General features: G+C 40.6%; 1 protein-coding gene across 2 annotated transcripts in view; it reads left to right on the top strand.

Moving 5' to 3' along the window:
* The window catches only part of POU2AF2 (POU class 2 homeobox associating factor 2), a 40,677-nt gene that overhangs the window by 10,147 nt on the left and 6,000 nt on the right, over window positions 1-24,530 (top strand). Inside the window, exon 2 of one of the 2 annotated variants that reach the window (NM_198498.3) lies at window positions 112-221. In NM_198498.3, coding sequence (NP_940900.2) covers window positions 112-221 — 110 coding nt within the window. Of the gene's footprint in view, window positions 1-111; window positions 222-12,130; window positions 12,192-24,530 lie in introns of those variants that run through there. The other variant, XM_011542804.3, reaches the window with a different exon arrangement.

The raw sequence follows: 24,530 nt of genomic DNA on the forward strand, positions 1-24,530 counted from the left end.
TCATTCTATCAAGAAAATGACATCACAATGATCAGCCCCCTAAACATGTCCTTTGGGAGCTTAACCTAATGATTCCATCCACATTCGTTGTGACTATTCCATTTGCTTAAGTCCCAGGAGACTACAGCAAACGAGTGTATCAAGGAGTGAGAGTGAAGCATACAGTCAAAGATCTCCTGGCAGAAAAACGATCCGGGCAGACAAGTAACTCAAGACTTAATGTAAGTCCCAATTTAATATATTCTGAGGTGCTTGCAGGTTCTCTCTCCTCTCCCTTTATCCACACACCAATCACCTACTTCCTGGGTCTGGTATTCTCAAAACAAAGCCTTCCTTTAACTGGCACGCAGTATAGAATTATTCTGTGACAGACAATCTTTCTCTCACTTAGTGGTGCCAGCATTTACACCTTAACTTACACTCCCTCTACTTCAATCTCATCCTAGTCTATTTAATGCTGGTTTTCCTGCCCTTTTTGAAAGAGTTTTCATGCCCTTTTTGAAAGAGTTTTCATGCTTTGTTCATCTGCTATTGACTATATGCCCTTGGAAACAGAATTCCTATTCCCTCATAACTGGATGTCATGTAAATCACATAAATCACAGTCAATAAATGCTGGTGCTCCTCCTGACTGAGGAGCCTGATGGAGTGGAGGAACACCAGTAGAGAGGGGCCCTGGCCCTTGCCGGGAACCAGTCATGTGGCCCTGGGAAAGTCATTTTACTCTTCTGGACCCAATATGAAATGAGTTAGGCAAAATGACCTCTGGGGTCCCTTCCAGCTGTAAATATCTCTAATCATGGCACGTCTGTTAGCAGCCAGCAGGCGCGCCAGGAGCTCTGTGATCTTACTGGCTGGCTACTGTAGTTCATGGCAATTAAAAGATGGTGTGTCCTGACTTTTTCATTTCCCCAAGCCATGGATTACCAAGGGCTTGGTTGGTGGGAATAATACTCACCTTCATCCACGTAATTGTTACTCTAAACCCAACAGAGATAACTTAAAAAAAATCTTCTGTGTAACATGCAAAATCAGATTTTAAAATCCTAGTAGGAGATGTTCTGAGTCTAAAATCTTTATCTGCCATCCATGTCTTTATAAATAGTTCTACTGTATACCCCAAATGTTTAAGTAGTTGCACCAGATCTCCAGAAATGATTCTAAAATGGCAATATCATTTGGTTACCAAGATCAGCATATAAACACCTATTCTATCAAGTAAAATATAATCACATGAATGTCAGGCATCTGTTGGCACCTGCTGGGTGCAGAGCATGAGAGCAGATGAACAGAAATAAATGAGACAACCATGTCCAGTACCTAGTGCAGGGGCTGATACGCAGCAGGTACTGGTTCTTCCAGCATGTATGCTGAGAATGTTGGCACCATGTTCAACTCTGCTCCAAAATCAAACTCCTGAGACATATTTCAAATGAACGTTCAATTTCCTCCCACCCAAGAACACCTTTAATTGCATATTTTATGTTATCTTTTTTTTTTTTTTTTGAGATGGAGTCTCGCACTGTTGCCCAGGCTGGTGTGCAGTGGCGCAATCTCGGCTCACTGCAACTGCTGCCTCCCAGGTTCAAGCGATTCAAGCGATTCTCCTGTCTCAGCCTCCCAAGTAGCTGGGATTACAGGCGCCTGCCACCACGCCCCACTAATTGTGTTTTTTTGTATTTTTAGTAGAGAAGGGGTTCCACTATGTTGGCCAGGCTGGTATCAAACTCCTGACCTCATGATCCACCTGCCTCGGCCTCTCAGAGTGCTGGGATTACAGGCGTGACCCACCGCGCCCAGCCGTTATCCTTTCTTTTAAACCACCACCTCTCTTCTAGTTAAATAAATGGAGCTTATCTGCTACAGAGAAGTCTGAATAATTGGCTCCTTGTCTGCTCCTAGTTCAGTGCTTCTCACAGTGCCTGCTCAGAATCACCTGGGGTGTGTGATAAAAATATCAATACAGCAGGGCACAGTATCTCATGACTGTAATCCCAGCACTTTGGGAGATTGAGGCAGGCAGATCACTTGAGGCCAGGAGTTCCAGACCAGCCTGGCCAACATGGTGAAACCACATCTCTACTAAAAATACAGAAATTAGCCCGGTGTAGTGGCTCATGCCTGTAATGTCAGCTACTCAGGAGGCTGAAGTGGGAGGATCATTTGAACCTGGGAGGCAGAGGTTGCAGTGATCTGAGTTCGTGACACTGCGCTCCAGCCTGGGCAACACAGTGAGACTCTGTCTCAAAAAATAGTAATAATAATAAAAATAAAATATCAATCCAAATCTAGTCTCTTGAGAGAGAGAGAGAGAAGGAATTCAGAATCTACTTAAAATGAACCACAGCTTCAAGTGGAAGTCACGCGGGTTGCTTGACCACAGTAACTGCAACTAACATGAGACAGCAACTAAATTATGAATGTTGATGAAAGTTTCAGGCAAACTATCAATTGGAAAGGCAAGAGTTGCACATATGGGTAATATCCATTGTCAGGGAATAAACATGGTGTCTGCCCAGGGTGAATGAGTGTGTAACTCACACCTTGTATCATTATCAATGCCTGTATACAAATGATAAGGCACTATACCAGAGTTATAGAAAAAGAAAAGTTACATTAAAGGGCATGAAGGCATATATCCAAATGGCGGACATACTTTTTTCTTTAAAATTTACCTAATATGACTTCTTGCTCAAGATCTGTGACTATCAAGTCACGGATTTTGTTTCTTTTCTTTATTTTTTGGTGAGTTTTTACTTTTTATAAAATGAGACAATGTAGACATAATTAATTATAAGCCATATTATTTTATTTCATTTTAAAATACAGATCCCTGGACCTGTCCCATGTCTACTATTATTGGGTTGGAGCCAAGGCATGGTCATTGTGTCATTTTTTTTACAAGCTCCTTGGATGGTGCCTTTGCACTTCATTGTTTGAGAACTTTGCCATAGAATAAAGAGCAAGTGTCTAAGCCTCACATGTCACAGCCAAGGTTTTTATCTCTCTTCAGATAAGAACTTGCTGAGGTCTTGCTATTGACCCAGTGACAGTGGGTCTTTTATGGAGAAAGTGGATACAAGAAACACATGTAATATATAGTTTGTGCCATTGGACACCAAATAACCTGGTGAAAAGAAAAAATACTTACACATTTGAAAAATACAAGAACTTAGCAACCAAGCCCTAGACTGAAACTGAAGACAAAAGACCAGGCAGCATAGACATGTAATATGAAGACTATAATAACATGTATGTAAGGACAGTTTAAAGGGCACTTTCTCATGTGTTGTTTCATTTGATAGACACACTAACCCCGAGATTGATATTTACAGTTTCCCAGTTTACAGATGAGTGCATTGAGAACAAGAGAAGCGAAGTAATTATTTCAAAGCTGCACAGTTTACAAGTAGCAGATGACTCCTAATTCCACATTCCTTTTTTTTTTTTTTTTTTTTGTCTGAGACAGAATCTGGTTCTGTCGGCCAGGCTGGAGTGCAGTGGCACAATCTCGGCTCACTGCAACCTCTGCCTCCCGGGCTCAAGCAATTCTCCTGCCTCGGCCTCCCGATTAGCTGGGATTACAGGTGTGTGCCACCATGCCTGGCTAATTTTTGTATTTTTAGTAGAGACGGGGTTTCACCATGTTGGCCAGACTGGTCTTGAACTCCTGACCTCAGGTAATCCACCCACCTCGGCCCCCCAAAGTGCTGGGATTACAGGCGTGAGCCACCGTGCCCAGCCCACATTCCATATTTAAAGGGAATGGCCAAAGGGGACTAGAATAGAATAATCGCTGATACAAGCAAACAAACGGGTTTTTTAAAAAGAAATATACCACGTAGAGATAACTTCTAGAACAAAAAAAGTACGCACCGGTTCTAACCATGGTAGCTATTCTCAGGCATCAAGTGCATAGATGATATGAACTCATCTTTAACTTCCTGTCCCCATCATATTACCCAGCATCTCAACACTAGTATCTTACGCTCATCCTCACTTCACTGACTTTTTGAATTCAGATAATTAAATGCATAAAGTCCCAAAATGCGGTTATTTGGACTTTAGACATTTGCATGAATTGCCCTTACTGTCCACCTACTGATGTTTCATCCTCTTAACCACTACTCTAGAATATCTGTAAATCTCAAGGATATCATATGCATTAGTCATTGACTCTTGAGGACCTATTTCTGTCCCTGTTGCAAACGCAATCCAATAAGAAAGAATCATGGACCATCATGTTACGGGAGACACTGTGGGGCTCTGATTTGATGGCTCATACTGAGACCACCTCCCCTTTTTCATACCAATGCACTAGGACACAATGATTCTCATATATCGAGTAAGTTAAGTTAGAGAAGTCATTCATTAGACATGCTCAAAATTTGCAGCTGACAGCATGAGTAATGACCAGTCAGAGGCCCTACCATGTGGTTTACCATAAATGCATTGTAATAGGTTAAAAAAAAATGGGAGCCCCAAAGATCCCATGCCAAATCCCTGGGACCGGTGAGTTCTGCTTTATACGGCAGAATTTGTGGTTAAGTGAAGTATCTTTAGAAGAGGCCCTTACCTGGCATTATTTAGGTGAGTTCTCAGTATAATCACATGTATCCACAAGTATCCTCCCTCACAAGGGGGAGTTTTGAGAGAGAAACACACACACCGGGGAGAAGATACACAAAAGATGAGGAGGCAATGTGACCACTTAAGCAGAGATTGGAGTGATGAGGCCACAGTCAAGGAATATCTACCAGTAGCCACCAGAAGCTTGAAAAAGCAAAGGCAAATTCACCCCTAGAGTCTGGAGGGCACACAGCCCTGCCAACACCTTGATTTTGGACTTCTGGCCTCCAGAATTATGAGAGAATCAATGTTGCTAGTTTTAACCCACCCTGTTTGTGATAATTTGTTACAGCCATCCTAGAAAACTAATACTCACATATTCTGCATATTCTGAAAACTATGTCCCCCGCCGGATAGGCATACTTCAGGAAGTATCTATTGGATGCCCAAATTGCTGCTCTTTTATTTGTGACGACACTGATAAATTTACACAAGACTCTGTTGATCCATCTTTACCGCAGCTTCCCTCATGAACATCTGTTTTTGATACCATGAAATGTTTTTCACATCTTTGCAGTAGGAACAAGAAAAAATATCCCTTGCATCAAAAGAGACTTTTACCAAAGACTAGAAATTAAAACCACTTCTATACATTTTAGCTACAATTCTGTGGTTTCACAACTATTGCTATGTATGTCTATTTTTAAATAATGGTTTTTCTTTTTTCTTTCTTGAATTTTTCTGTTATTCTTTACCACACTACTAGATCTTCTACCAAGATATATAAATGTGAGCCGTTCACCACCATCTAGTACCAAATACACACACACACACACACACACACACACACACATAATTAAGTTCTGATTGCTGCTTTTTTTGAACTACACTATTTCAATTGAGTTCTATAAAAGCTAAACATCGAATTATTTTCAAATAACATCATAAAATTCAATAACCTCTTTATTATATGTAGAAAAAAGGCAATAAACCTAATAGTCACAATTTTTCAGTTTTGTTTTGAAAGTTGGTGAGTGATTTTCAGACCATTGTTCCTTTTAATCAAGTTTTTCTTAAGCTATCTTATGGATTTATTTAAAATTGTTGAATATACATCAGCTGACATGAGGGGGGAAAAATGTAAAACTTGCTGTGTAGGAAAAGGAAATCAGCTTGGAATTGAAACTGTTGGGGAGATGGGGAAGTGTCGTGTAGTGTAGGGGAAGCTAAGATTGAGCCTAGGAATCAGGATTTGATGTTCAATTTATTTGTTGATTTATGAACAAAGTAACAGCTCTTTTGCTCGGCTCATTCATCAAAATGCTATAGCCAGGAACAGTAAGAAAATAGACATGAAAATTCCTTCAAGTTAATATCCTACATAAACCTAAGGAAAAATAAATGAAGATTTCTGGCTCTGTTTTTAGAAGGTCTGAATTGAGTAAAATGTTAAAGAGAAATATCCCAAGTGAGAAATGTATTTAGATAATAACAGCCTTGATTTTTACATGCTCTACATATAGAGACCAAAAGTGAACTATTTCCACACAGCGTGATTCTTGCATGCCAATCTCAAGTGTTTGCTTTTCAAATCAGTATTACTTACAGTTATTTTCTTTCTGTACATTATCCTAAATTCTTACATTTAAATTATTTCACTGCTAAAATCTCTACATCAAGGGCATACAGGATAAGGCAATATTGTCAGCTGGGTTTCTTGGTTAATAATCTTTCCTAATTATTTTGGAGGGTTAATATTACAAGCAACGGATAGAAGTATGACAATAGTACGTATTTGATGGGAAATTTTGGGGGAACAGAAGGTGAATAGGCACCATTCGGTGTGTTTATGACATAGAGCAATTGCCATAAAGTTGGGCAGACTTTAACTGTAGAACAGATGTGCATTGTCTATCTTAGTCCCTAAAACCGCCTGTCCTTCCAGCAAGACTGCTAGTTGGACGTTTGTTTAGTTACACATTCAGCTGCTGCTTTGCTATACCAATTGTGCACAATTCAGTTACCACAAGTGTAAACATCATGACATCTAGATCTGTGATTTGCATTTGGATTTCTTGTGAAGTATTAAGAGGAAAAAATACATGCAATTGGAAGCTGCATATTCTATCATCTCAAAGTTTCTTTGATTTCCATGAAACTTTGGGTAACACATCTCTCCTCCACCAAAAGAGAAGCTGCTCCTTCTTTCGTCTGTTTGAACCCCTCCTTCTGGCTACAAATGGTCTTGGGTAATTCCCTTCTCTTCTCTGAGCCTCAGTGTCCCTGTCCATAAAAGCAGAGAGTTGGGCCATGCGTCTAAGATTTCTCTAGTTTCTGTGCTTATTTTTTTCAGATAAATTTTACTGTGTATAACTGATGTTTGCAACATGACCTTATGGGATACATATATATAGTAAAATTTCCACTATAGTGAAGCAAATTAATACATCTCCTATCTCATCAGCCTTGATTTATATATACTGTACAAGTACAGACCAAAATTTAACTATTCCAAGTGGTCTGTTTTTTTCATTCCAACCTCAAGTGTTTGCTTTTCAAATCATTATTACTTACTGATACTTAGTTACTTTTTGTGGCAAAAGCTGCTAAAATCTACTTATTTAACAAAAATCCCTAACACAATTCAACTTTATTAACTATAGCCCTCATGTTGTATGTTGGATGTCTAGACTTGTTCATCCTACATATCAGCTACTTTGTAGATTCTGAGCTACATCCCAGTATTCACTTTTAAGACTTAAATTTTTTAAAGTTTATTCCATTTATTTATCTTTGTTATTTTCATTATTTATACTTCAAATATTTCCATTTCTTTAAATATTTAAATCCTAATCTCATTGTTTAGGATTTAAAATAGACCTGAGTCTCAGACAACTAGCTCTTACCCAATTTGAAGCACCATTGAGCTGATGTTTCAGATTACTCTGTTGTCTGGGAACCTACAACACTCAGGTTTACTGAAGTTCTTTTTTTTTTTTTTTTTTTTTTTGAGACGGAGTCTTACTCTGTCATCCAGGCTGGAGTGCAGTGGCATGACCTTTGCTCACTGCAACCTCCACCTCCTGGGTTCAAGTGATTCTTCTGCCTCAGCCTCCTGAGTAGCTGGGAATACAGGCGAGTGCCACCATGCCCAGCTAATTTTTGTATTTTTAGTAGAGACAGGGTTTCACCATATTGGCCAGGCTGGTCTCGGACTCCTGACCTCGTGATCTGCCCACCTCGGCCTCCCAAAGTGCTGGGATTACAGGCGTGAGCCACTGTGCCCAGCCTGAAGTTCATATTCTAAGACATAGAAAACACAGCATAGCGAAGAGTTTGGGCTCTAGATCCAGATGACCTGAATTCAAATCCCAGCTCTGCCATTTGCCAACTGTGTGGTAACAGTAAAGTTACTTAACCTTGCTGCTAAAGGAAGATAATAACATCTACCTTGCAAGGTTATCATAAGGATTACATTTAATATTTGCCAAGGGCTTGGCACATGGTAGGTGCTCAATCAATGCCATTGCTATTAAACACTCAACTGCATGTGAGGAGTGATGTTTGTTAGAATTCAAAACAATATAAGAAATTCATTGCCCTTAAGAAATGTACTGCTCAGTTGTGGGGTAAGAAATTATAAGTGATTAAAAATAAAAAGATGGCTTTGCTCCAAGTGCCAAAAGAGTTGAGTGTGACCATCAGTAAACATGAGGGAGGTTCAGAGGAGGGAAAGCAAAGCATGAAGCAGGTAGGTAGAAAAAGACTTCTTGGGTGGGGTACAGTGGCTCACGTCTGTAATCCCAGCACTTTGGGAGGCCGAGGTGGGCAGATCTCTTGAGGTCAGGAGTTTGACACCAGCCTGGCCAACGTGGTGAAACCCCATCTCTACTAAAAATACAAAAATTAGCCTGGCATGGTGGTGTGCACCTGTAATCCCAGCTACTCAGGAGGCTGAGGCACAAGAATCGCTTGAACCCGGGAGGCGGAGGTTGCAGTGAGGCGAGATTGCACCACTGCACTGCAGACTGGGTGACAGAGCAAGACTCACGAAAGAAAGAAAGAAAGAAAGAAAGAAAGAAAGAAAGAAAGAAAGAAAGAAAGAAAGAAAGAAAGAAAGAAAGAAAGAAAGAAAGGGAGAGAGAAAGACAGAAAGAAGAAAGAGACGAAAGAAAGAAAGAGAAGAAAGAAAGAGAAAGAAAGAGAGAAAGAAAAAGAAAGAGGGAGGGAGGAAGGAAGGAGAGAGAAAGACAGAGAAAGAAAGAAAGAAGAAGAAGAGAAAGAAAGAAAGAGAAAGAAAGGAAGGAGGGAGGGAAGAGACAGGAAGGAAGGAAGGAGATGAAGGAAGGAAGGGAGGGAAGGGAAAGAGACAAAGAAAGGGAAAGAAAGAAAGAGAGGAAGGAAGGAAGGAAAAGAAAAGAGACAGAAGGAAGGAAGGAAGGAAAAGAAAAGAGAAGGAAGGAAGGAAAAGAAAGAGAAAGAAAGAAGAAAGAAAGAGGGAGGGAGGGAGGGAGAGGAAGGAAGGAAGGAAGAAAGGAAGGGAGGGAAGGAAAGAGAAAAAGACTTCTTGGAGGAAAGCATGCCACGAGCTAAGCTTTGAAGGAAGAAGATGACCCAGGTGAGCAGTGAGCAGGAGTAGAATCCAAGCAGAACACACGAAAGGGGCAAAGGCACAGGGGAAAGGAAGCAATTCCCTGTGACGTGCAGCGGATGAACCAATTTTGTCTGCAGCATAGAGAAGTGAAAGAGAAGGTTGGGAGGCCTGCACAATCCTTCAAAATTCAGTTCTCATCTTGCCTGTTAAGGTCTCCCAGACACTCCCCTCTGCTCCCAAAGCCTCCGGAATATTTTTCTGCTAAAATATTCTTACATTGCACTGTCACTTCTTGTTTTCTTAAATCTGTCCCTCAACTGGCTAACATCTTGCCATTTCTGTTTGTTCCTTTCGGAGCCTCCAGCCCAGGAAGAATAATAGTGTGGTAAAGTGATTAAGTGCCTGAATATCAGAGTCAGACAGACCAAGGTTCTGACTCTTGTGTGTGAAATTGATCTCACTTCTCTGGGCCTCAGTTTCCTCCTATGTAAATGGGAACGGTGATAGCTACCATGGAAGGTGTTGTGAAAGTGAAATTTGATAATGTCTACAAAGCACCTGGTATAGCATATGGCATGCTGTAAATGCTCAGCATATGGCAGCTTTTATGGTTTTTACAATATCTGGTACATAGCGGTACTTGATAAATGTCTCAGCAAAGGTGTGCCACACTAAGGTAGATAGGCACTGGATTATAGGGAGCTCTGGATAGCAGCCTTGAAAGTTAGATCCTCCTGTCATCACTACTATTAATTTTAATATAATATACATAAGTGAAACCATTAGAAAGGCTACTGGGTAACTTTTGTAGGTTTGAAAACTTTATTCCTAGGAATAAATTAAAAAAAAAAAAGTGGAAGCTGTAGTTACCCACATGCTGATTGAGCTATACCACTGTCCTCCATTCTTCCAGTCGAGATGGCTAGAGTTGAAACTCCAACCTGGTGCATTTCATTAAGATAATTTCAACTGCTCCCATTCTGTAGTACTAAATATCCAAAAACTCAATCAGTTTAGGATAACAAACCTATAATTATACTTATCCATCACGAACTGCCAATTTAAAAAAAAAACAGCTTCAAATGACAAGAAGAAAGAAATGAAAGTCTGAATATTTTGATCAGGATTTGCCACCAATTTGCTGACCTAACAAGTGATGTGACTTTCTGAAGCCTGCATTTCCTGAATTTAAAAAATCTTCTGAGGGGTGCAGATGGGAGAGGGTCAGCATTCAGTGTTCTCCGTGTGTTTCCCCCGCTGGGTGCAGCTGTTTCTCCTCCTGACTCAGTAGATTTTCCCAGACCTCAGAACGTGTCCCACCCACTGGCACCCCTACCCCCAACATCCAAGGCCAAGCTGAACCCCCTCTGTAATCTGAAAAAGATAAATTCCCTTTTCTCTGATTCAACTAGAGTTTTGCAATCTGAGTTAGCCAGGAATATAGGGAATAGAAAAGACACATAAAGCAGAAGAATGATTATGTAGCCTCCAAAAGTTCTGATGCTAACGTTAATATTGGGTCAAAGATGAGCATGGGGGTACAATTGAGTTGACGTTCAGACCTGAGTCCCCTTCCCACCTGTTCAGTTCTCTCTGGGATAAATAGTAATGAATAATAACAATAATTATCACTTACCACTGGGCTCTGAAATAGGAAATTTACAAATAATTTCATTTATCTATTTTAAAATATATTTCATGTATCAACACAAGCATGGCAGCTTTCAGAGGGTGGTACCCATATCTGTTTTTGAGATCAGAAAAATAAGAATCAGGTTGAAAGTAGTGAGGCTTAGATTTGGAACTAGGTTTGTGGGACTCCAGGTCTTCACTTCACCCACCCTATTGCCCTCTTACATTATGATTCCAGCCCAAGGATGGGTGAGCTTTGGAGTGGTCACTCTGCTTCAGGCCCTCCTGCTCAGCTCTCATGTCACCCTCCAGATTTCCTGTGTGATGGGTGGCCCCAATTATGACTTTTGCTCCCTCTCGGGAACACATTTGTCTCCCCAATCAGCCCCACAGTGTGCCTGTAGACTGTTCAAGAGATGATGCCACACCCAGCCCAAACCAGTACCAGGACCTTCCTTTCCTACGATACTCAGACATCTTAGAAGACACTGGACCCAAGAAGTTTTCAATTTCCTTATAGAATTTATCTCCAGTTCTATCCCAGAACCTGCTTTCTGTCCCAGAAACAGCTGCATCCAGTGGGGGGAATATATGGAGAACACTGAATAGAGTCCCTCTTGGTCATTCTCCACCACTCCTGGACCCCCTGGCCTCGTAGGGCTCTATGTGGCACCTGGCCCTCTCTGTCTGAGAGGAAATCGCTTCCTGAACCGGAGTCAGAGTGTGCCGTCCTGACCTTGCAGAAGCCTCTTTTCTGTTCTCTAGAGACCTCTGGGGCCTACTCACATGACCCATTTCTCTCTGAGCTTTTCTTCTTACCTGAAGCTTACTCCCCTGGCATGTCTTTGGATTTCTTTTCTGAATATCGGCAAGTTATTTGAGAGGCTGGCATCCATGGCTCACTCATGGGACTGGATGCAGAATGCCACTTCTTCCACTTTAGAAGGCAGAGACAATATCAGCCCCCTTTCGAGGGCTGGAAGAGATTCCTGAGCCCAGTGAAACATAGAGTTTACCAGATCAATTGACCTGCTGTCTCTGGTGACCCACCCCTTCAATGCTCTCCCAGCCCCCGTGGTGTCTGGAATTCTCTCATAGTTGTACACACTGTGGAGCCTTACATATATTCTCAATAAATATAACAGCTGATAAGGAAAGGGGAGAATACTTTCCTTAAGGCTTTACCTTCTTATGAAATATGAGAAAACATGGGGAGAGGAAGACTACCAATGCCCTCATTTCCTAGATACTAAGCCAATTATTAGTATTCCATGCTAGAAACAGATAGAACCCTTTACTAATGTAGAAATCTAATACCATACTACTGCTCTTTGGCATTCTAATGGTGGTGCTAAACAACAATGAAAATGCCAAAAGAAGAAGAAGTCGAATACAGGTAAGAGCAAAAACTGGTACACAGGCCTTAAAATTAAGGAGTTGGTCATACATAAATCCAAGGAAGAAATCACAGCCTCCACAACCATCAGCATATTGTCACACCTGAGAACATAACATGTGGATAGTATATTGAATCTGTGATGGGAAAAAGGGTAAGCTTTGGACCGAGGCATCCCGAGCTCTGCAGGTATGAGTGCCAAACAGTTGGCACCACTGCAATTACAGGAAATACGGTCTTCTCTGATTTCTTAAAATTTACCATAAAAATTATTTTTCACCTCTTCAACTCATAACCTGAACCGACCCTACAACATGTTTTGATTTTAGTAAGATTGTTGTGTCTCCCTGGGCACAGCAAATGGGCATCAGGTGGCCCAATGTGTGTTTTATTGGTTATTGCTACATTTTTCTTTTTTTATTTTATTTTATTTTATTTTATTTTATTTTATTTTATTTTATTTTATTTTATTTTATTTTATTTTATTTTGAGATGGAGTCTCGCTCTGTTGCCCAGGCTGAAGTGCAATGGCATGATCTCGGCCCACTGCAACCTCCACCTCCTGGGTTCAAGTAATTCTCCTGTCTCAGGATCCCAAGTAGCTGGGACTACAGGCACACGCCACCATGCCTGGCTATGTTTGTTTGTTTGTTTGTTGTATTTTTAGTAGAGACGGGGTTTCACGGTATTGGTCAGGCCGGTCTTGAACTCCTGACCTCAGGTGATCCACCCGCCTCAGGTTCCCAAAGTGCCGGGATTACAGACATGAGCCACCGCACCCAGCCTCTTTACTTTTCTTTTCTTCTCTTAGCTTTTTATTTCTTTCCATATTATCTTTATTTTTCTTAAATTTTTAGAAATCCCTGTTGTTCTCTTTGTGTTTGACTGCTAAGGCTCTTAAGAAACCTGCAATTTTCCTTTAATAAATATATCTTATTTATCCTTGCTACTTTTTCATGAATGCCAGCAGAAGAATCTATTTCTCATTTGAAATTTTGCAAGGTTATTGATAAAGGGAATCAGTATTCACCCTGGGAACATCTCCCTATACCTTTTGCTCCATCTCATAGCACAGTGCTTTGCATATTGCTTGTTAACACGGCCAGCTAACCCCCTCCACGAGCCTACAAAGAATTTAAAAAGAAAAAAAAAATCTTCCGAGGAGGCAGTGTCTAGTAAACTCAAAACACCAATGTTTGAATACAGAGGTACACACTATATTCTTGGCATTCATTTGAATGAATGCTTTACTAAGCCTTTCTAAATGGCCTATTGTCTGACTTTAATTAGCCCACTGTCCTGCCCTGTTTAGAGATCTGAACCACATTCCCAGTGCTTTCTGTGTTCCCCACCCAACCACCTGCTCCCTCACAATCACAGAAATTTTTAAAATAATAATAAAGGCAAACCTTTTGCAAGCAACTTATTTTTTCAGCTGCTCTATTGGTTCTGCAGGGTTTTTTTAATGTCATAAAATTTAAAATAATTCCTGGTGGTGAATTCTTTCATGCAGCTTGCAAAAATAATCAGTTTTTGCAGCGGAACAGCCGTGGCAAGTCCATCTGGCAGGGATGTAGTTCTGCAGATTCTGTTCTGACCAAAGTGCATCTCAGTGACTCCTGTTGTTCTAACTTAGCTACATAAATACAAATAGCATTCCAAAGGCATGCCAAGATCCAGGGGTAAAAAATGTGTTTCATTTTGTAACTTAGGCAACAGAAATCACTTTCTCACAGAGACAGCCTGAACATTATTTTGTGCCAAGCAGGAGAGTTTTAACAGTAAAATTTTAAGAAATTATCTGAAAATGGGAATTCTGCAACCATCTGAGCTTTCCAAATGACATAAAATAGTTTATATCCCAGCAATTGAAGACAGTTGACATCACAGTTTTCAAAAGATTTGAGATTTGCAATAAATATATGACCTAAAGTCTATTTATTAATTTTTGTTAAATAGTTGCTTTAATTACAAAAGAAATTCAGTGTAAAATTTCAGACAGAATAAGAGTTAAAGTGAAAAGCAGAAGCTCACTGAAGTCTTCCCTGTCCCCAGTTCTCTTGTCCTACATCCCAAAGGCCACCCCAGTGAGTTTCATGTAAATTCTCCCAGAAAATTTGCTATGGCATTTTATTAAAGAGAAATTAAGTTGTTGCACCAACAAGTTAATGAATACCAAAATTTGTTAGATAATTACATGCACTATTACAAAAAATGCATAAATTAATGTTTTTGTGGCAAAATCCCTTCCTGAGAGAGAATTTAAACATGGCTTTTAGTTTTCATTTTACCCCTACACATTTGAAAGCCTTGAGCAAATCACTTAATCTTTTTATGTCAATAACATAGCCCTTACTGTCACCTAAGGCTGGTGATAATGAGACAGGGTGCACAAAACCAGATGAACTCTTTCTTTGTAAGATAAATCCCCTATAACCTAGGCTTTGTAGAAACAGGTAAATGCTTTTGAGGATATATGTTTCAATATTCCCTCCTCAGTCAAAAATTCTTCTTGGCCTTAGAATTGGGCCTATACCATGCCCCATTAAATTAAGTCATATAAAAAGTAGGGTTTTTTTATTTGTAAATATGTCAGTATGAGGAAGACCTGCCAGCCGCCTCTCATACAGGTATCAGCAGTAAGGTTGGTGATAACAAAGAAAAGAGGAAGAGAGCCCTGGAAATTGTACAGCATCCAGGACAGGTGGCCAGCAGTCCTCAGCACCTATGGGAGAGTATCAGCCCTTGTTGATAATCCTCTAAAAGGAGGCCAAATAGAAGTGAGTAGAAATGGCACCTGCTGGCCTTCTGAAATCCCAGCCCTACTGAGGGCCATCAGACCCTCATCACTGGGCTCTATTCACCTATAACAACCCATACACTCACCCCACCAGTCATTTCCAACCTGTCATTTTAGCACCAGATTAAATTTCCTCGAGCAATATTTTCACCATGTCTACACTGCTAAGAAAGTTCTGGGCGGGGTGCAGTGGCTCATGCCTGTAATCTCAGCACTTTGGGAGACCGAGGTGGGTGGATCACCTGAAGTCAGGAGTTTGAGACCAGCCTGGCCAACATGGTGAAACCCCGTCTCTACTAAAAATATGAAAATTAGCTGGATGTGGTGGCAGATGCCTGTAATTCCAGCCACTCGGGAGGCTAAGGCAGGAGAATCGCTTGAACCCAGGAGCCAGAGGTTGCAGTGAGCCGGGATCATGCCGCTGCACTGCAGCCTGGGTGACAAGAGCAAAACTCCATCTCAAAAAAAAAAAGAAAGAGAGTTCTGAAGGATCACTGCCTGCTACCAAAGTCTAAGTTCCTTAGCGTGGCTCAAAAAAACTCTTTTTTATTTCTTTTTTTTCTTTTCTTTTTTTTCTGAGACAAGCTCTCACTCTGTTACCCAGGCTGGAGTGCAGTGGCATGAATTTGGCTCACTGCAGCCTTGACCTTCTGGGCTCGGGAGATCTTCCTGCCTCAGCCTCCCAAGTAGCTGGGACTTCAGGCATGTGCCACCATGCTCAGTTAATTTATTTTATTTTTTGTGGAGATGGGGGTCTCACTGTCTTGCCCAGGCTAGTCTCAAACTGTTGAGCTCAAGGGATCCCCCTGCCTCTGCTTCCCAAAATGCTGGGATTACAGGCATGAACCACTGTACCTGGCACAAAAAAGGCTAGGCATGGTGGCTCACGCCTGTAATTCCAGCACTTTGGGAGGCCAACGTGGGTGGATCACCTGGGGTCAGGAGTTCGAGACCAGCCTGCCCAACATGGTGAAACCCCGTCTCTACTAAATACAAAAAAAAAAATTAGCCGGGCATGGTGAAGGGTGCCTGTAATCCCAGCTACTTGGGAGGCTGAGGCAGGAGAATCACTTGAACCCAGGAGGTGGAGGTTGCAGTGAGCCAAGATTGTGTCATTGCACTCCAGCCTGGGCAACAAGAGTGAAACTCCATCTCAAAAAAAAGAACTTTATAACCTGGTTCCTGCATCTTCCTCCAGCTTCTCTTCAGCTTTCTTGTCTTCACACTTCCTGCCCACATTTCCAGGTATGTGACATGCAGTTCCTCACATTTTGAGCCTTTGCTTCTCCCTCCAGCAACAATAGCCCTTAAACTGATTTCCTTTTATCTAGCCTTCAGAACCAGACTCAGATATCATCTATGTTTTGATGTGCTAAATCACATTCCCCCAGGACAGTAAATCACCTCATCACCACCCCAAACTTCATCCCTGCCCCCACCCCCATACCTGCACTAAATCACATTTAGAATTCAGGCTATGTCACTTAGCAGCTTTGTGACCTTGGACAAGTCCTTCAGAAGTATCTATTAGTTTTCCCATCAATAAGCTAGGGATTATAACAATCTATCTCATTGGTTAATGGTGATGATCTAATGAAATAATGCATGTAAATCATCTCACACTCTACAGAGTACATAAAGAACCCAGACATTAGTTGTCACTAAAAATGATCACACAGACACACTAACATATGTAAAGTGCCAGACACAGAGTCTGGCGGGAAGTGGCACCAGGAAATGCTAGTCTTCTCAACCACAACCCTTATTTCTATTATTGCACCAATTACATATATATTTATGCACCTGTTTTTGCGATGAAACTGTGTGCTGTCGAGAATAGAATCTATGTCTTACTCCTCTTTGTATTTCTGGAAACTACCACAATCCTGGTGCAGAGTAGGCACAGAATACATTTTAATAAAATGAATGAAATGAAACTTCTGCTCTAGACAAGCCAACTTGCTTATTATTCCCTGAAGAAGAGCTGTGCTTTCCCACCTTGTGTTTGGTTCACAAAATTCCTCCTTCCTGGGAGCTTCCTTTCTCCTGTCTGCATCCTCTCAGCCTTCAGCACCCAATTCAAATCCTCCACACATTGATTTGCCCCTTTTCTGATGCATAGTAGATGCTTATAACTGTAGTTTATATTCATTATAGAGTATTTTTCTTATTTACAATCAAATATATAACTCAGATAAGTGGCCTATAAATCAAAACCTGTTTCAAACTTTTCAAAAGTAATAAGATTTATAAGATATGTTTGAGATAGTTTAGCCAACACACCAGATTTCACACCAACCGAAATGCCCTTGGTTCTACTATATACTTCTCCTGTTAACTAAGGCATGTAAATCTCTATATCCATTTTTTTTTTCTGGGGAGATGTTACAACCTAACATCAGTGCCCATTTAAAGACTAACTGTGTTAACATCCAGCATTAACCTTCCTTTAATTCCAAAGTTGGAGGAAAACCACATGACCTATGGTGGATCTAAATGTAGACATTAAAATGTGGTGTCAGATGTTCAATATGGTATCATCAGCTCCACCTGCCTCACAACCATAGAAATGATGACAATGAAAAATTAAATGTATAAAATACTATGAATATCTCAAAGAGGGATATCACCTGTTCACAAGTGGCTATGATTATTATTACTTAAGCATTAGTAGCAATATCTTTAAGTTTGAAGACTTATTTTCTAAACTAAATTTTATCTCAATTTGAATTAAGAAATAAAATTATACAGCAGTATGAAACATGTCATGCTAGTCAGACATCACTTCCTTAGTACATTTCAATATGTCCTTCAACTAGGTTGGCACCTAAAAATATTATTATAGGATAATAAAATGACTATAAATGTACTCAAGGGAAACTCCTAATCTTATCACTTTACTACCTTGGTGACCTATTAGTTCAAATTAACTCATTTTCATGGAGGGGCTTTGGGGGCAGCTGTGAGCCTGCCGTGTTAGCTGCAGGAAGTTGCAGGCTGGCAAATTTCATTCAAATATAAACCTCTAAATTTGGCTAGCTGGCATTGCAGGATCCTGTTGTTTGCAGTATGCAAAATAAAAATTATATACCATCTCGCTTGGTCAAAAGTTATGGGCTCTTCAATGTTAATTTCAATGTTATTTTTTGGAGGATTTGCAGGATAAGAGGCAACTGTGTGAATACAATATATTGAACCAAGAAAGAAATGTAAGATTTCCCTTCACGTAGGAAATGACAATTGAGTGCACATGCTGAAGGACCCTGGCTTAGGCTTTTCTCTCCTGACCCGTGAAATCTGGAAATGGGATGGAGAAGCAAGTGGTAGCTCTGAAATCTTACCAGTGGCACCCTTCCCAGCCCCATGCAGGCCCTTTAGGAGTCTTCTAGGGTCTGTGATACCAACTGAAGAGGTCCATTATCACTGACTTTTGTGTTTATCCATCAAAATATTTCCCAGGTCACCACAGAGGGGGCAGCATTAATTATATATATAAACTGACTAGTCTGATGAAAATGTTTTACATCATGATTGTGGTGATAGGTCACAAGTGTTCATCAAATTTTGCCAAAATTCATCAAATTGTACCCTTAAATTTTGTGAATTTTATTATATGTAAATTACATCTCAATAAAGCTGACCCCTTCAAAAGTAGAATGTCACTCAAAGGATTAAGGATGTGTGTGTGTGTGCATGTGTGTGTGTAAGAAAGAAAGAGAGAGAAAGAGACAGAGACAGATAGACAGACAGACAGACAGGAAAGCACCCCACCCGATCCTCTTTGTGAGCTTTTATATAATTTATATAATATATAAATTTATATAATTTATATAATAAATGATCTCTCTGGATGTCCCTAAGTCTCCATTATACTAAATTTTTTCAAACTAGGATGCTTTTCTATTTTTAATTGTTGAGTTATTAAAATGCTTCCAAAGCAGACTGGTGCGGTGGTTAAGAAACAGGCTCTGATATCAGAAAGGCCCTTGTCTAATTCCACCGACTACCACCATCGCCACAACCAATCCTCTCCTAGAAGGGAAATCAGGTTATTCTCTCTATGCTTAGGTTCCCTCACTGGCAAAATGAGAATAATATTACTTATCTTCTGGGATGGTCGTGAGAATTAAATGAGATGATACATATAACACAGTTGACCATAGCAATGGCCAACAGTGTGTTTATGAAATTACTATAAGTAAGTGCTTATGAATTACTTCTGTTATAATTTAAATGTCTGCTGGAAAATGTTGGGAGTCATGGAAAAATAAAAGCTTTGTGCTGTGTTAAAACCAGGAAGGTATCTACGTCTAGGCTCAATATTTACAGATTCAACTCTGGTATTAGGGGATTGAGAAGAACTCTCCCACAACAAAACTGGATCTTACATAATACAAATTTTAGTGAGTTGTTGAGCTAGCAGAAAGTAAGGGAAATCTCCAAAGCTGGGGGTAGGGGCAGAAGTTGGCATGGGAGATTGAAAAAGGGTTTGAGCAGAAAGCAAAGCACCAAATGATGAGAAGGTGATCATTCCAAAAAGACAGGTTTCCTGAGGACAGGTGTCCAATTGGCTTTACATGTGAAGACTGGTTCTTGACCTGTTGCCAGGGTTGGGAGGCTGAACCTTGGACTCCAGGATTAATGTGGGGAACCTGGAAGGCATCTGGCTCCCCATAGATAGAAACATAAATCTTCTAGAGGAAAGCAGCCTCAATTCAGGACCCCAGATCTTCACAGATTAGGCCAACAAGATGTGAGTTTCAATCAAAGATCACCCATGCGTAAGAAAACAAACCACTATGAGTGAGTCCACATGAACAATAGACAATAAATTTAAATTCCCAGAACTTTCATATATTAGAATTACTGAACACAAAATACATAACACTTAATACATAATGAGCACTCAACAAGAGGCTGTCAAAATTTACCAAATAGATTCTAAAAATCAAATGGAATTTATAGAAATAAAAAAATATAAAATCATGAATATAAAAATTCAATGTGTGAGTTAAATAACAAATTAACTACAGTTGAATAAAGAATTAGTGAACTGAAAACACATCTGAAGAAATCTATGCCAATCTCTACCAAAATATAGAAGAAAGAATCACAGACACAGAGAAAATAGAGAGGTTAAGGGATTTTGAGGATAATAGTAAAAGTTCTAACATGTATCTAAACAGAGTCCCAGGAGGAGAGAACAGTCATAATAAAGACAAGACAATATTTGAAGAGATGATGGCTGACATTTTTTCAGAATTTATGAACGACATGAATCCCTAGATTCATGAAGCCCATTCTATCAAGCAAGATAAATAAAAAGAAATCTGCCTCTAGATAAAATGAGGTGAACTTGAAGAACCTCAAAGACCAAGGGAGTATATTGGAAACAGTCAGAAATAAGGAAAAGATTGTCACAAAGAATAACTGAAAGACCAATAGCAGATACTGGCCGGGCGCGGTGGCTCCTACCTGTAATCCCAGCACTTTGGGAGGCCAAGGCAGGTGGATCACAAGGTCAAGAGATTGAGACCATCCTGGCCAACATGGTGAAACCCCATCTCTACTAAAAAGAAAAAAAAAAAAAAATATATATATATATATATATATATATATATGTACAAAAATTAGCTGGACATGGTGGCACATGCCTGTAGTCCCAACTACTTGGGAGGCTGAGAGAGGAGAATCGCTTGAACCCAGGAGGCGGAGGTTGCCGTGAGCTGAGATTGTGCCAATGCACTCCAGCCTGGGTGACAGTGTGAGATTCCATCACAAAAAAAAAAAGAAAAAAAAAGATAATGGTATAAAAGACCAATAGCAGACGCCTCAACAGCAATTGTGGAAGCTAAAAGACAGTGGAATGACATCTTCAAAGTGCTAAGAAAAAAAAAAAAAACTACAAAGTTAAAATGGTGAATCCAGCGGTATTATCTTTCAAATACAAAGTCAAAACAAATAATATTTTCAGATAAATAGAAATTGAAAGAGTTTACTGTCAACACCACTGACACTTAAGGAATTTTCCAAAAAATTACTTCAGAAGAAGGAAATGAACCTAGAAAGAAAGTCTGGGAAAGGAATAAGCAAAGCAAATGGTAGACATTTGAACCTTAATTCAAATTAGTAAATCTAATACAGAATTACTGAATTAAATGATGATATTGATGTCTAATTTGTGACAGCTTAATAACAAAAAACAAGCTAAAAGAAAAGAGAATAGCACACCCATAAATTAGAAGAGGGACAGTTCTTATCTGTCAATTGCAGGTTTAAGATATTGTTTGTAGGTTTTGTTAAATATACATGGTAAAATTGTAAGGGTAATCATAAAGAATGAAAACAGAGAGTACAATTTCCACAGCAGGTAGAGAACAAAATCACATAGGAGACAAGAGTACAAAAAGCTTCATCAAGTAATAAATAAAATCCACTAGACCTTTAATTGTGAAATCTTTGTAGAGTCTTCTGGTATAAAAATTGGGCTGGGGAGGAGTCGGTACTGTCAGTTCCACAGTAATAATTAGGCCTGGGCAGAAGATGGAGGAGGCATCGTAGAAGATGCTGGAGATTGCTGGCAGTAGAGGAGAAAGACAGAAAAACTTTTAGAGCAGATATGTCAAAAGGTGAAGGGGCTGTGTCAGCCACAATGACATAGACTGGGCTCTCTCCCTGCCTGGGGCAGAGGCAGGAGGCAGAGCCACTCCAGCTGATAAATAAATGGCTAACATGCTGAGGGCAAATAGGGTGCTGATGCTGATGCTCATCGGATTGGGCATGTGTGCTGTGTCTCACAGGGGCCTTGATCCTGGCCCCAGCCTTGGCCAGAGCAGTTTAAGGGAAGCAGGCAGGAAGAGAAGGTGGGAGAAGAACAATGGGACATCTCCCTGGGCGGCACCCAGGACAGCTACCACCCCCTGGCACATCCTACTTAACCTGGAAGGAGGCTGAGGCTGAAGCCAGAAGACATATGTGTTGGCACAGATCTTCAAGGAAAGACCCAGCCACACCACAGAGCTGAAAATGGGAGGGTAACACTGGATAACATGGGCGCCTGCTACATGGGAATATGTGCCCAAATACAAGTGCATCTGTGATTTAATCACTGCCCCTTTCCTTCTCATAGAAATATTAAGGGACCTACTTCTGACCATTACATGCCCGAGAGTTCCCTTCTGCCACTTAAAAGTGTTAAAATATTAAACAGGAAAACCCATAAATCAAAAGGTTTGGAGAAATATACCACAGATTTGAAGGAACCAACAAATGCATAATAGTAATAATAGCTAAGGCACATATGCTGTTTACCATGTGGCAGACACTATTCTAAGTGCTCGATGTAATAATCTCATTTAATCTTCATGTGCCCAAGATCCCACAGCTAATAAGAGGTAGAGCTGGGATTCAAATGTAGTCACTCTGGTTCCAGAGGCTTTACTCTTAATTACCATGCTGCTTCTGAGTTGTTGGAAGATATTTTGCCTGGAGAAGTTCGAACTCGAGGTTGATATTACAGATTGCAATTGCACGTTTGCATTCCCCTAAAATTCAAATGTTGAGGTGCTAATCCCCTGTGTGATGGCATTTGGAGAAGGGGCCTTTGGGAGGTAATTAGATCTTGCAGGTGAATCCCTCTAATGGGATTAGTGTCCTTATAAGAAGAGACACCAGAGAGATGATCTCTCTCTCTGTCTCTCTCTCTCTCTCTCTCTCTCTCTCTCTCAGCCATGTGAACACACAGTGAGAAGCCAGCTTTCTGCAAACCAGAAAGAGGGCCCGCACTAAAAACCACACCTAGATCTCAGACTTCCAGTCTCCTGAACTGTGAGAAATAAATTTTTGTTATTTAAGCCATGCAGTCTATGGTATTTTTCATAGGCTTGTCTTCAGATATTTGAAGGGCTGTGTATGCAAGAAGTGTTAAACTTATTCTATAAAGACCAAAGGGATTAGAACTAGAAAGTTATTCTTTCCAGCCAACTTTGTAATTGGTAAAAGTTCCTAAAGAAGAAATGGGTTTCCTCAGAGGGTGCTAAGTTCTGTGTGCCTGGATATTAGATGCACCTGGTGTTAGTAATATGGAGAGAATGTAATCATTGAATGAGACTCTATAAAATTTCTTCCAACTCTTGAGAGTCTATAGAATCATTAAAGTCACTGCAAAAGAGCTCGGATTCAATGAACTGGATGTTGAGGATTCTTAACTTCCACAGAAGCTACACCCTCTCCACTTACTTTGCTCCAGGACATCTCGGAGCCATGATTTGCGTATTTTAAGACTCTACACGCCTAGATACTCTTCCTTCAGAGGTCAGCTTAGGCACTGCATCCTGCAAGATGTGTCTCCCACCCCATTCTTGACACCAGTTTAGGTGCCCGCATCACCCCATCTTTCCCTGACCCTGCCACTTCTCATACTACACCGAATATTCTGTTTTGTCATCAATCACCCCTGTATTGGTGTCTTAGGGCTGCAGTAACAAGTTACCACAAATGGGATGACTTACAGCAACAGAAATGTATCATCTCATAGATAGCTCTAGAGGCTAGAAGTCCAAAATCAAGGTGTCAGCAGGGCCATGCTCCCTCTGGAGCCTCTGGGGAGAATCCTTCCTTGCCTCTTCCTAGCTGGCAGTTGTCACTGGTGATCCTCGATGTTCCTTGGCTTGAGGTTGTATCACTCAAACTGCTGCCTTTGTCTTCACATGACCTTGTCCCATCTGCATCTGTGTCTTTGTGCGTCCCTCTCCTCTTCCTATTAGGACATCAGTCACATGAGATTTAGGACCCACCCTAATTTAATATGACCTCATCTTAATTTAAGTAGTTACATCTTTAACAGCCCTATTAGCAAATACCGTCACATTCACAGGTATCAGGGATTAAGGTATCAATATAACTTTGGGTGGCTTATGCCTGAAATTCCAGCAATTTGGGAGGCCGAAACAGGTAGATCACCTGAGGTCAGGAGTTCGAGACCAGCCTGGCCAACACAGTGAAACCCATCTCTACTAAAAATGCAAAAAGTAGCCAGGTGTGGTGGTGCGTGCCTGTAATCCCAGCTACTCAGGAGACTGAGGCAGGAGAATCACTTGAATCCGGGAGGTGGAAGTTGCAGTGAGCCGAGATCGTGCCATTGCACTATAGCCTGGGTGAGAGAGTGAGACTCCATCTCAAAAAAAAAAAAAAAAAATATATATATATATATATATATATCTTTTGGAGGGGGCACATAATGCAACCCACCACATTCCCCAACCTCTCCCTGCTCTCTAGCCTGTGGGTTCTTTGAAGATTGTGTCTTCATTCCACATATTTTTCTTACGTCTATTATGAACTACACCCTGTTCTAGGCACTGAGGGCACATCACAGTCAAGGTCCCTACAGTTGGTGGAGCTTCTTCCTCCACATGGATTCAGACAGTAAACATTGAAGTGGCCCTTCAGTGCTGAAGCCAAACACTAAGTGCATGTATGCACATACACACATACAGTAGGCGCCCCTTAGCCATGGTTTCCCTTTCTGAGGTTTCAGC

Source organism: Homo sapiens, chromosome 11, assembly GCF_000001405.40.
Source record: "Homo sapiens chromosome 11, GRCh38.p14 Primary Assembly".
NCBI lineage: Eukaryota > Metazoa > Chordata > Mammalia > Primates > Hominidae > Homo > Homo sapiens.